This window comes from Homo sapiens, chromosome 15 (genome assembly GCF_000001405.40).
Source record: "Homo sapiens chromosome 15, GRCh38.p14 Primary Assembly".
Taxonomy (NCBI): domain Eukaryota; kingdom Metazoa; phylum Chordata; class Mammalia; order Primates; family Hominidae; genus Homo; species Homo sapiens.
In genome coordinates, this window is record NC_000015.10 from 32,801,725 (window position 1) to 32,814,945 (window position 13,221).

General features: G+C 40.1%; 1 protein-coding gene and 1 long non-coding RNA gene across 15 annotated transcripts in view; one reads left to right on the plus strand and one right to left on the minus strand.

The window, feature by feature from the left end:
* FMN1 (formin 1) overlaps positions 1 to 13,221 on the minus strand; it is a 429,171-nt gene that overhangs the window by 36,181 nt on the left and 379,769 nt on the right. For 10 of the 13 annotated variants that reach the window (XM_011521509.4, NM_001277313.2, XM_011521504.4 and 7 more), the window contains one exon: positions 2,557 to 2,608. In XM_011521509.4, the coding sequence (XP_011519811.1) occupies positions 2,557 to 2,608 (52 nt within the window). Of the gene's footprint in view, positions 1 to 2,556; positions 2,609 to 8,884; positions 9,388 to 13,221 lie in introns of those variants that run through there. The other 3 variants (XM_047432437.1, XM_011521505.3, XM_047432438.1) reach the window with 1 other exon arrangement.
* Positions 1 to 13,221, plus strand: part of LOC107984089 (uncharacterized) — a 36,512-nt gene that overhangs the window by 17,247 nt on the left and 6,044 nt on the right. The window contains exons 2-3 of one of the 2 annotated variants that reach the window (XR_002957770.2): positions 9,194 to 9,272; positions 11,887 to 12,212. This is a non-coding gene — a long non-coding RNA (uncharacterized LOC107984089). Of the gene's footprint in view, positions 1 to 9,193; positions 9,273 to 11,886; positions 12,213 to 13,221 lie in introns of those variants that run through there. The other variant, XR_002957769.2, reaches the window with a different exon arrangement.

A 13,221-nucleotide genomic window follows, 5' to 3' on the forward strand; every position in this document is an offset into this window, starting at 1 on the left:
GCAGAGCTTGCAGTGAGCCCAGACTGCGCCACTGCAATCCAGCCTGGGCGACAGAATGAGACTCCGTCTCAAAAAACAAACAAACAAACAAAACCAGTGTGCCTTATTTGATTTCATTGTTATTCCACTGTTTAAGAAAATGCTAAAAGCTAGAATATGAACCTGCAATGGTTTGATAAGGCCTAGACTGTTGTCTTTCCTAGACAAAACTCCATTTTAAATTCAGTTTTGATTCACAGAGATTGACCACTGAAAATCTTTTGCAATTTGGACAAGAAAATTGTTGATATTTAACAACCAGGAGAATTTTCTCTAATATACAGGAAACAAAGGTCAATCATGCGATTTGAAATTTCTATTTGTTAGCAGATAGCTCTAAAATGGCTCTCAAATTTTAGAAGATTGATTTCTAATCCTATGTTTGGTTTTATATAACTTTTTCATTTCATGCAAACTAGTCCCTGACCCCTTTTCTCTCTGCTATAATTCCCTGTCTGATTTGTATCTTTTTAATTCAGCCAAACATTTTTAAAGTACAGACAATGATTACATCAAAGAGCCTGTAGCGAAGTGAACTGTTTTACTTTTACAGTCCTGAGATCCAGAGCGGAACACATCCACTTATTGTCTTACATGCATGCCTTCAGAAACTGCTTAGGAAAAGCAAATATGCCTTAGCCTCAGAGTAAATTGTTTCTCTTGAGAATAAAACATAAGAATTCACTAATCTCACACAAATATTGCAACACTGACCACAACCTCCTTAAAGAGTATAACCAAACAACTGTGGTTTCTACATTAAAGATGGGATCTAACATATTTCATGTATGACATGAAAGCTAGACTACCTTCACCACAAAGCCACGGAAAACGCTGACAACCAGAATTTATGACTCCCCTCCACAGAGCTAATGCACGGCAGCAGTTTCGGCCCCTCCACGCTGGGCCCCCTTTTCCTTCAGCAAGAATCCTGAAAAAGTATTAGAAATTTGACATCCGCCCCAGAAGCTGAATTTCTGTTTGGCCTGACACCAACGTGCCCTTGTTGATAATCTCTTATGTGCTGGATGTTTCTATAACACAGACGTGCTAGTTTTATGCATTGTGAAGGGAAGCTTAACATAGGAATAAGGTCAATAGAGAGACACAAACTCCTAAAAACATAGCCATGGAATTATCTCAGTTTTGAATGATTATTATGATAGGATGATAAGCACGATTTGAGAATATGTCTGTACTTAGCAAAGTGCAAGACTTGCCTTCACCTTGCTTTCACCAGCATTTTAATCTTATTGGTAATTACAGTGGGAAGCAGGGCAAGATGTTGGCACCTGTGAAAGCAGGGCAGATGGCACCGTCTATGGGATTTCAGAAGTCTCGGAAATTGTGGCTAGACAGGAGGAAAATGGTTAATTTCTACAATCTGTTTATTTGCATTTAAATTCCTAACTGGGTAACTGTTCCTCTCACACATTTGTAAAGCTCATTTGTCCTTAGATGCTGTCTCCTACCTCTACCTGTCATCTAATTTACCAGTACTTTTAGAATTCGTACCAGCAAAATGTATCTCAAATTTCAGCCCTAAATATGAGAATACCGCTGTCTATTGCCACTCACTCTTCTATGAGGGAGGGAGAGCCACACTGACTAACCTGGTCAACTAACAAAAAGGAAAAAGCCCTAAGGGATGAGAACTGCTGATGATTAGGTTCCACTGGGTGGAGTGAATGGTTCCCATGTGATATCTATTGAGAGAGTGAGCGAGCAAGAAGATGCCTGAAGTGGGTGACATGAATCTGAACAGAAGATCTCTGAGGTGTTCCCCAACTTCTGGGGGAAATTGTCCATACGCTGTATGGGCATATGGACAGCCCCTTCTCCCCACCTGAACATATGGACAGCCCCTTCTCCCTACCTGCCCCTTGTTTATAATATCCTCCTCTAGAAGCTGAGGAAAGACATAATAAGTCTCTTGGGTGTCTGCAATAATTAGTTTGATCTAGTTGTAATGCCAGGAAGGATCAAACTGTCCCTGACTTCCATCAAGCGGTTCAGGAGCAGAGCAATGCAGGACAGGCAAACAGGCAGAATAGTGTCATGACACGCATGTGAGGCAGGTGAGTCACTTCTGGATGATTCCTCACTTCCTGAGGAAAAATATTCCTAAGTCCTGCTACAGTGCTTTCACTCCAGCTTCCAAGTGAAGCTTATTGCTTATGGATGCATAGTCTTAACACATGGGGCCGAAAGTAGGGCTAGTCAAACCTTATGCTACAGGAAAGAAGTCAGTCACACAAGGACAAATACTGGATGACCCCAATTGCATGAGGTAGCTAAAGTAGTCGAAGTCACAGAGACAGAAAGTAGAACGGTGGTTGCCTAGGGACAGGGGAGTGGGGAATGGGGAATTTGTGTTTAAAGGGTATAAAGTTTCAGTTGGGGAAGTAAAAATGTTTTGGAGATAGAACTGCATAGCAAAATGAATGCACTTCATAATAATAATACAAAAGAATGGCTAGTCAAAGAAAGAACTGGGGCCAAATCAGAGCTGCTTACCTTTTCTGTGCATTCTCCAAGTGACTTTCTTCCATCTTATGCTCTTTTTTGGCTGTAAAAGATAAATCATGATTAAAAATTTTTTCTTCTGTTGTCTCCTTTGCGTAATCTTACAGCTTCAATTACACCCATTCATTACCACAGGAGGTCTGAATTCGGGGGGGGGGGGGGGGGGTAGCCTGTAACACATGTCCTGGCAATAACACTCAATTTGCTTTATTTGCTACCACTGCTTTTTTTTTTTTTAAATTATACTAAGTTCTAGGGTACATGTGCACTACGTGCAGGTTTGTTACATATGTATACATGTGCCATGTTGGTTTGCTGCACCCATCGACTCGTCATTTACATTAGGTATTTCTAATACTATCCCTCCCCCAGCCCCCCACCCCCCAACAGGCCCCAGTGTGTGATGTTCCCCACCCTGTGTCCATCTGTTCTCACTGTTCAACTCCCACCTATGAGTGAGAACATGCAGTGTTTGGTTTTCTGTCCTTGTGATAGTTTGCTGAGAATGATAGTTTCTGGCTTCATCCGTGTCCCTGCAAAGGGCATGAACTTACCCTTTTTTATGACTGCATAGTATTCCATGGTGTATATGTGCCACATTTTCTTAATCCAGTCTCTCATTGATGGACATTTGGCTTGGTTCCAAGTCTTTGCTATTGTGAATAGTGCCACAATAAATATACATGTGCATATATCTTTATAGTAGCATGATTTATAATCCTTTGGGTATATATCCAGTAATGGGATCACTGGGTCAAATGGTATTTCTAGTTCTAGATCCTTGAGGAATCACCACACTGTCTTCCACAATGGTTGAACTAATTTACACTCCCAACAGTGTAAAAGCGTTCCTATTTCTCCACACCTTCTCCAGCATCTGTTGTTTCCTGACTTTTTAGTGATCGCCATTCTAACTGGAGTGAGATGGTGTGTCATTGTGGTTTTGATTTGCATTTCTCTGATGACCAGTGATGATGAGCATTTTTTCATGTGTCTATTGGCTGCATAAATGTCTTCTTTTGAGAAGTGTCTGTTCATATCCTTTGCCCACTTTTCGATGGGGTTGTTTTTTTCTTGTAAATTTGTTTTTCTTTGTGGATTCTGGATATTAGCCCTTTGTCAGATGGGTAGATTGCAAAAATTTTCTCCCATTCTGTAGGTTGCCTGTTCACTCTGATGACAGTTTCTTCTGCTGTGCAGAAGCTCTTTAGTTTAATTAGATCCCATTTATCTATTTTGGCTTTTGTTGCCATTGCTTTTGGTGTTTTAGTCATGAAGTCTTGATAACAGACATAGCTAATAGTGGCCAAATAATTTATTGTTTCCTCTGGGATACTTTTGAGAGTAATGTTAATAATTACACCTAGGCAAAGACATAAATTAGGGAAATCTTGGGTAGATCACGACATGTGGTCCCTCTTGCACGTCTCATCATGTTCCCCCTTACTCTAAACATTATAAATCCAGTAGCATTTGCAGCAGTGCTGCTCAGAGTCATGGGAATCTTGCCGCATACTGCCTCCACACCCACAGGCCCTTTTGGCAGTCTAGGGAAGCCCATGGACTCTTGTCAGAATAATGTTTTCATAAGGTTACTAAGAAAATCAGTGATACTAAGATACAATTCTGAATCCACAGGTTAAGAACCTATGTTCTTTCTATAGGATTATCAAGAGGTTTCATTTTGGGGTGGTTCTTTTATATATCCTTCTCTACAATCAGAAGATATATTATTATATATGAAAATACCACTCTCACACTTTAAAATATCCAGAAAAATAGGAAAGTTGTTAACATAAGCTACAACATAAGTTGTTATGTTATTATGTAACATGTTATTATGTAACATAAGCCTTCAGATTCCTTTAATTTAGGGCTACAATGATGTAAAATGAACGAAAATAAGTAAGTCTCGTATCTAGGATCTATGCTGTGATACTTCATGAAAGATAAGGGATTTTGAAACATCACCCTTTTATTAAACCTGGCCCTACCACTTACTATCTGTATGACTTTGGCAAGTTAGTTAAGACCAAATGCTTAGTTATTGCCTCATCTGTCCCATGAGAACAGCCATAGTGACCATTATCATACAGCTGCTGTAAAGATTTAATGAGATAATACATGCAGAGTGCTTAGCACATAATGTGTGCTCAATATAGGCCATGGCAGGTATTAATACTACATTACCATAATCTTCCTCATTGATTTTAAAATGTAAAGGCTCCCCTGCTCAAAACCTTCCAATGGCTTGTCTTGCCATCAGCCTTGACATAGTATCTACAGTCTTCAAAATGCTCTAGAAGGCCCTGCACTTAAGTCGGCTCCCTGGCTGTTTGGTGGCATTACCTCCTCTTTCCCACACCCCTTCCTTTCCAGCTTCGCTGGCAGCTGCCTCTGGCTTGAGCGCACTGAGCGTGCACATTGGAGGATCTTTGCACTTGCTGTTCCTCCTCTCTGGGACACCCTGACCACAGTCTGCACGATGGGCTCCCTCACTGCATTGAGGTCTCAGCAGAAGTATCTCCTTCTCCAGCTTCCGTAAATAAAAGACCATCCCTTGCCACTCATCATCTTCCTACTACCCCTCCACACACACCCTCTACCCCTACCTTCCTTCCATAGCCTTCCCACAGCCTCTATCTACCTAACAGACTATTCCTTTCCTCATGTGTTTATCATGCAACAACTGAATGTAAGCTCTAGGAGGGCAGCAGCTTCACCTGGCTTGCTTTCTGCTGTAGCCTTAATTGTAGAAAACTGGCTATATGTTAAAGCAATCATTTTAGCTTAAAAATGCATATATTGGATAAAGCTTGCTTAAAAAGAGATATACTGGCTTTCCTGAAAAAACTTTATATTTAGAATATGAACATAAGCTAAAGAAGATTGAGAGGCTAATGTTGTATACCATTATCTCTAAATGTAGTATATTTCAACTAGTAAAACTTATTTTGTTTTATATTAAAATGATTCAGCTTTCATAAGTGCATCATTTTAGGCAGACGGAAGCCATGGCCAGGGCCATCTTTTGCTGTCTGATGTCCCCCCATACTCTTGGCAGGAATTTCTGTGAATTAGTCTGGTACTTAGCCAATCAGATACTGAGAAATGACCTGTGTCTCTCCTAGGTTATCAAGTTCCCCAAAATGTGAAACAAACTAGTGATCTGTTCTTCTCCAGTGATTTTAAGTTATGTGCATAGCCAAACAGGAGGAAAAATTCCTCTGAGGCCCGAGTGATCTTCTTGGACCAGCTCTGCTCTCTCAGCAGATGGTTTCTAACTGGCTACTTCCAAGCTGTGTGTGCTAAGCAGAGTGTGGCCAAGCCATAACTGTATATGAATTTAGTGACAAGAAATACCCTATTCAAACTGAATTGAGCATCAGGTAAGATTTTGCAATACCTCTGTGAATATGGTGATTTGGAGAAACAGAGTCTAAATGTAAAAAGAGGTATTATTAAGAGCCAATGCACACTGCAGAAAACTCTGAGGGTTTAGGGAAAAGGGCCTTCAGGAAAATGAGAAGAAATTAGAGATTTAAATGTTCCCTAATTTTGCCCTTGTACAGATACAAAAGGCATCTACCTTTATGGTGTGACTTGGAAGCTCTAACAGCATGAAATATTTCTCCTACTTGAATGTGTAAAATTTTAAACCAGGCCATTACACATTTTAAGTCTTCAAGATGCTCTAAGCAAAACACAAATACATGACCTGGAAGAACCATGTTTAAAGACTGGAGTCACAAACTCAAATTCTAATACCATCAACAAATAAGGTCACTGTGGGCCAAGTATAAGAATCCCGGTGTTCCAACGTTCTAGTTCTAGCTTTTCAATACGGGAACTATATATCATACAATTGCTCCACAAGAACAATTCTGAAGTTCATAGTTCCACAGCCTACCAAGTGAAGCAGAAATGGCTTTCTATTCCATGGCTATGGGCCCAAGGAATGCAAATCAGAACTCATGATAACTAACTGCCAAGCTTTAACCCTAGCTGTGTCACCTGAGTGTCATGAGCCAATCACAGTGTCCTGTGTTTCAGTCTCCTGCTCTGTCAAATGGAGATGATGATACCTACCCTCCCACATAGTTGCAGCCAGTCTTTGCAGTCAGGTCTTTGACAGTTCAACGTCATGCCATGGCTGCTGGGGGTTCAAGCTTCCAGTGGGTTGGCTGTTTTGCCAGAGTTAAATGAAGTGTAGCATAGAGGAAAGAGCTTGGGTTTTGCACCAGGTGGACCTGGGTTTAATTTCTGCTCTGATACTTATTAACTGGGTGATCGTCAGAAAATCACTTAACTCCACTGAGCCTTATCCGTAAAATGGGAATAATAAGATCTACCTTGCAAAGTGCTTGTGACTATGAGATATACTGAACGTGTGAGATTAATCTAGTGACTGACATATGATGGGCATTCCAGAATGGCAGCCATTTATTGTCTATTGGCTAGAAGCAAATGCTAGTAGTCACTACTCTAGCTTTCTGACTTTTTGGCATGGTTATCACAAAATTGCACACAACATGCTTTCTTTAGAATGTTCATAACTGCTTTCAGTAGACAAGAATTTTGGTTGTTATCATTTATGCTCAAAACTTTAGTGTTTTTTTTTTTTTCATTTCACTCACTGAGCTGATGTCCTTAGCATGGCCTGTAAAAGGCTTTTCTACAAAAGGGTGGTTCCCTATGTCTGACCTAAAGTCATTTTATTTGCTGTTTCAGCTCATTTTGTTTTATTTCATCCTCAGGAGAAAGAGAAAAACTTATTTATAATTTAACAAATAACTGGGAGTCATGGGGGTGGATGTGAGGGGAGAGGTACTTAATGATTACTCTCACCTGTTTTTTCCCCTTAATGACCATGGAGTTCTGTAATCTTTGACCTGATTAACTGGATCACTTCCCCAATACCAAATAAAAGACAATGATACAGGAGTCTTTTTTTGAGAGGTTAAGTTTTCTGAGAGCTAAGATTCCTTCCTTAACCTCTAGGCTCTATATGGTGACCTGTAACAGGTTCCCCTCATTGCACAGTAAATTCAATTCTCTTTGTTGCCACCAAAACTGCCATTTTAGAAGGCAAAGTGAACTATGCCCCTTTTCTGCTTAATGTTCTCACTGGTTCCCCCTCTGAAGACAAAGTGCATTTGCAGTTCACAGTGTGCCCCTCACACCTGCCTCCTGCCATCCCCATACTATCATCCCCAGAGCTCCTGCTGCGTGGGACTCATGGCTGGTCTCTGGACTTAACTTGCTGCATGGTGTCTTTATTTTTGGGCACTTTGCTCCTTCTGTTTCTAATGCCTTCTCTTCCTTGCCCTTCTCCCTTCTCCTACCCTTCTGTTTGAATGTCTTCTCTTTCTTTGAAAACCAAGCTTGAAAATCTCCTCTGAGGGGCCCTCCATGCCTCTCCCCCATAATGTGGTGAGCCGTTCTTTCTGTGGAGATCCAAACACACTATCTCCCCACAATTCCTTATCACAGCACACAGAATGCTATGTCAAGGTCACTGGCTTGCAGCTGGCTTTTCCCACTGGACTCTGTGCTCCTTTCAGAGTTGCAACCAAAATCTGTTTTCAGAGTTTTTCTCTCAACTATTACCTAGCAGGTACTCAAATACTTATTTTTTTTTTTCTTTTGAGACAGGGTCTTGTTCTTTCACCCAGGCTGGAGTGCCGTGATGCAATCTCAGCTCACTGCAACCTCCATCTCCCGGGTTCAAGTGATTCTCCAGCCTCAGCCTCCCAAGTAGCTGGGATTATAGGCACGCACCATGGCTGGCTAATTTTTGTATCTTTAGTAGAGACAGGGTTTCACCATGTTGGCCAGGCTGGTCTCAAACTCCTGACCTCAAGTGATCCATCTGCCTCAGCCTCCCAAAGTGCTGGGATTACAGGCGTGAGCCACCGTGCCCAGCCTTGTGTACTTATTTGACAGATGGAAAAGTACACAACAGAAGAACCCATGTTAGCAGAACACAGTCCCTACTCATTAAGTGCCTGTTTTTTGGCACAGAAATTTCTAATCTTCCATCTTTTGTTTGCAACAAAATAGTGAAGAGTAGAGTAGAACTGAAAAGCAAGAGATTACTATGCCCATCCTATGTCCTGCTTTTAGACTGATACATTAACACAGGCACAAACAGCACTAACACTATAGGGAGGCACAAATAGCATTAACCCTCCAGTTTCGTCTGTATCAGATTGAGTCTTTAAAATATACTATTTTCCACAGTTAACTTTGAAAAAGAGAAAGTTTTTATAAATAAAATGATATTTCCATAAAATATTCAGACTAAGAACATTCACCATTTAAATGTACCCAAATAACCGAAGTTTTTATTCTCAAGAGGGTGGCATTCATACAATGAGAGTGGCTGAAGGAGGAGGCCACTCTTTAAAGAAAGTGGGGCTTTTATGCCAAACGCAATTAAGTCCTATTTATGGATGCCCATCTGGGAGGCAGTAAATTGTGAAATAAGGGGAAGGGATAAGGGTTGGAGTATCTTCCTAGTATTCTTTACACAGTCTATTACACTTTAATATACCATGGTTTATGGACCTGACATGGTTGGTATAAACCAACAGGACGCACAGTTAAGAAGTTGTTTTTATTACAGCTCTACAAATATGGGAGCCGGGTGATGCTAACGAGGAAACAAAGGGACTGCGCTCTGCTTCACGTGGGATCCGTCTGATGTGAGTGTGGCAATCGTTTTCCATTTCTTAGAAAATCCCCGTTGTGCACTTTCCAGGAGAAACAAATGCTTTACACCAACAGAGGCACAGCACGCTGACATCGGAAAGGGATGGCCTTTTAACATTTGAGAGAAGAAAACAACAGATATTTGGAACCAGTTTGTGATGCAGAGTTCTTACCCTTACATTTTTCCTTCTGGTATGCTTGCCCATGGAGGACGATATCCTTGCTGGTCTTCCTAAGTTATTAGTTTTCCTGGTTGTGGTGAAATTAGAAGAGTGATCATTTCTGGTCTGTCAGAGCAAGTGTCTAAGCTGGATGGTAAAGTTGAAGAGTAGAGGGCCACCTGTGAGATTTTCTGTGTAAAGTGTTATGAGGTTGTATAAAGACATGCTGTCAAGGTTCCTAGTGTAGGGTGTAGGATTTCCAGGTCACTTGCCTAAGGCTAAAGTGGACTAGGAAACTAGGCTTTTGGTGAAAGTACCAAGTAAAGGACATTGTGTCACTACACTCTGAAGAGGTCTTCAGAGTCATAAAATAAAAAAAAAAAATCCAGTTAAAAGGAGTCTTCAAATGGTCATCTAGTCTACCTCCCAGGCTGATGTGCTATCCTGGATCCTCTTATTTCCAGTCAGACTTTGCAGACCTTGTCTTTTTCATCATTTTATTTGCTTTTTTTTTTTTTGAGACGGAGTCTCGCTCTGTCACTCAGGCTGGAGTGCAGTGGTGCGATCTCGGCTCACTGCAACCTCCGCCTCCTGGGTTCAAGCGATTCTCCTGCCTCAGCCTTCTGAGTAGCTGGGATTACAGGCACATGCCACCATGCCTGGCTAATTTTTGTAGTTTCGCCATGTTGGCCAGGCTGGTCTGAAACTCCTGACCTCAAGTGATCCACCCACCTCAGCCTCTCAAAAGTGCTGGGATTACAAGCATGAGCCACCACACCCAGCCTTTTTCACCATTTTAATCTGCCATTTCTAGTTGCCCCTTAAGTGAATTGGAGTATTTTATGGACACTAAACAAACAAACAAACAAACAAACAAACAAACAAAACCACGAAATGGTATCACCTAACTTGGGCACCTGGGGCTGTTCTCAACCAGGGTCCTTCATCTGAACTGCAGAACACAGAAAAGGATTTGAGAAGCTATTTTCTCAGTTTCCCCATATACACATCACCGGGAACATTCTAAATGTCTAGGACAATGCCAACTCATTACACACAATGGCAGAGATAGGGCAGTACGACTTAATTCCCTTACACATAGTTGAAAATGTGAGTCCTGAGGCAATCAAACTTACAAGTGACTTATAATATTAAGTCATTTACACTTTTATACAGGCTGAGTACTCCTTATCTGAAATGCCTGAGGCCAGAATTGTTTCCAATTTCAATTTTTGTCCCCCACATTTTGGGATACTTGCATATACATAATGTAATACATTGGGGATGGGACCCAAGTCTAAAGATGAAATTCATTTATGTTTCATATATACTTTATACATAGAGCTTGAAGGTAATTTTATTCTTCCCTCAAGGACACTGAAAAAACTGTCTATTGTGCTCCTGCATTTTGGCCGAGACCGTCACATAAAGTCAAGTGATGGGTCTTGTCAAAACGCAGGTGCGCAACAGACAGTTTATTCATGTCATGTCAGTGCTCAAAAAGTTTCAGATTTTGGAGCATTTTGCATTTTGGATTTTCAGATTAGAGATTCTCAGCCTGTATCTCTAAATCTAGTACGATGATATTCGTAAAATATCTTATTGGTATAACAACATGAATTACAAAGTGCTGTTTGCATACAATAGAAAGGGTCAGACCTTCTACAATAGAAATATTTCAGGTGTCATGTATTCATTTATATTCTCTGGTGACTGTAATAATAATTTGTATAGGTGACAGGTACAATTTCAGAGATCACAATATACAGTTGGCCCTCTGTATCTGTGGGTTATGGATTCCACCAACTGCAGACTGAAAACATTTGGGGAAAAAATGGATGGTTGTGTCTGTGCTGAACATATACACGCTTTTTTTTTCCTTGTCATTCCCTAAACAACACAGTCTAACAACTAGTTATATAGCATTTACATTGTATTAGGTATCATAAGTAATCTAGAGATGATTTAAAGAATGGGTGTAGGTTATAGCAATTACGACACCATTCTATATGAGAGACTTGAGCATCTGTAGAGTTTAATATCCATAAGGGTCCTGGAACCAATCCTCCACGGATACTGAGGGATGACCATAATCTCAAACACTTAACCACATTATACATCTAGTCTGTGATCAATAGTAACTACTGCAAAAGTAAACATTTTATCAAGTCACAGTTCTAGGAGGTAATCGGACACAAGTATAATTGGGATCTAAATGAAGTATATTTACCCACACTTTTTCAGAAGTAAACTCACTTTTTTTTTCCCAATATATTTTCACTAGAGATGAGATGCTTTGCCCCAAGGTAAGTCTTTCAACCATTTACAATACTGACAAAACACTTGGCCTTCAGACTTTATGAAGGATTTTGTTCATTCTTCTTAAAGGCAATCATTTGATTTGTGGCTGATATTCTACTACTTTTGTTCCTCTGCTTCTGTGTAGTCCAGTGAAGTCCCTCAATGCTGCACAACTACCTGTATGCAGAAACATCTTGGCTTCGAGTGATACAGATGCAATTCCTTGATGAAGTTGATAAGACAGTATAACCTTAACCTTGCTATAACTTAGCCCAACTATTTAATCTCAACGTGGAGAAAATGGATACCCAAGTAGATGAAGCGACTATTTGGATTACACTAATAGTCACAGAATCCAGGCCTTTTGACTAATAATTTAATAATTTTGGCTAATAATGTGACTAATAATCTACATTTTCCAACGCTCCCTGCTGCTTCCCAAGGGGCAGCATTTTTCTCCAGGATTCCCAAACACCGAGGTGGTATTTTGAAGCTGCACTGTACTACACATCTTCCATAGGAATAGATACATCAGAGAGAAAGTTCCAAGATGGAATTTCAGCTTTCACGCTAAATTTCCTGACTCTTGATGCTTTAAAACAGACCGTGGGGGTACAATTTCAGAATGATCTGGTGAGAGACTCATTAACATTAATGGGAGTCAGGTGGTCACATTCTCAAACAGGGCCTGAAATTCTCCAAGTTATACCATCTTCTAGACCCATATATGTCTTTAACTTATCACCATTAATAGAAGTGACAGATGTCTTTTGTAAAATGCTTTTCCTTAGTTATTTTTCACAGATATTTCTAAACAAGCATATTTATAAAATATAATTTTCACTTAAGGGATAATTATACATAAATCTATTTCCTTGTAATTAAAAAATAATTATACATAAATCCTGTTTCCTTGTAATGTCTACCTTGTCTCCCAGCCATCTCATTTCCAACGGGAAGGGTCTGACCTTATACAATACTTTAGAAGTATTTCAGGTGTCATGTAGGGAAACTAAACTCTATAGCCTCATCATTCAGACAGCAGACACCATTTAGGAAATATTAGGAATTGCAAAGAAGCTAAATTTTTAAAAGAAGGCTTCTTGCATTTTGTTTCATCAAGAACCTTAGTGAAATTTCAAAAGCAATGGGGTTTACAATCACAAGGCTCTGGATAACCATTTGGTGATAAATTGCAGGTATTCTAATTTGGAGGAAGCTCTTCTTTCCCAGACAACTCTGTCTCATCTTAACATTAGCACTAGTCTGAAGGTGTATAGTTTCTGAAAGGCATGGACTACGGCCTTTTTCTTTCAAACTTTGTATTCAAATGCTTAGCACTTGAGACTATAAACCTAGTATTTATAAATCGGTAACTTGTTGCTTTATTAATTGGTGAGAATGTCCACAAAAGTGTGAATTTGTAGCAGGTTCATGAGCAAAGTGGTAATAGGCTGCATGTTTATTTTATTTTATTATT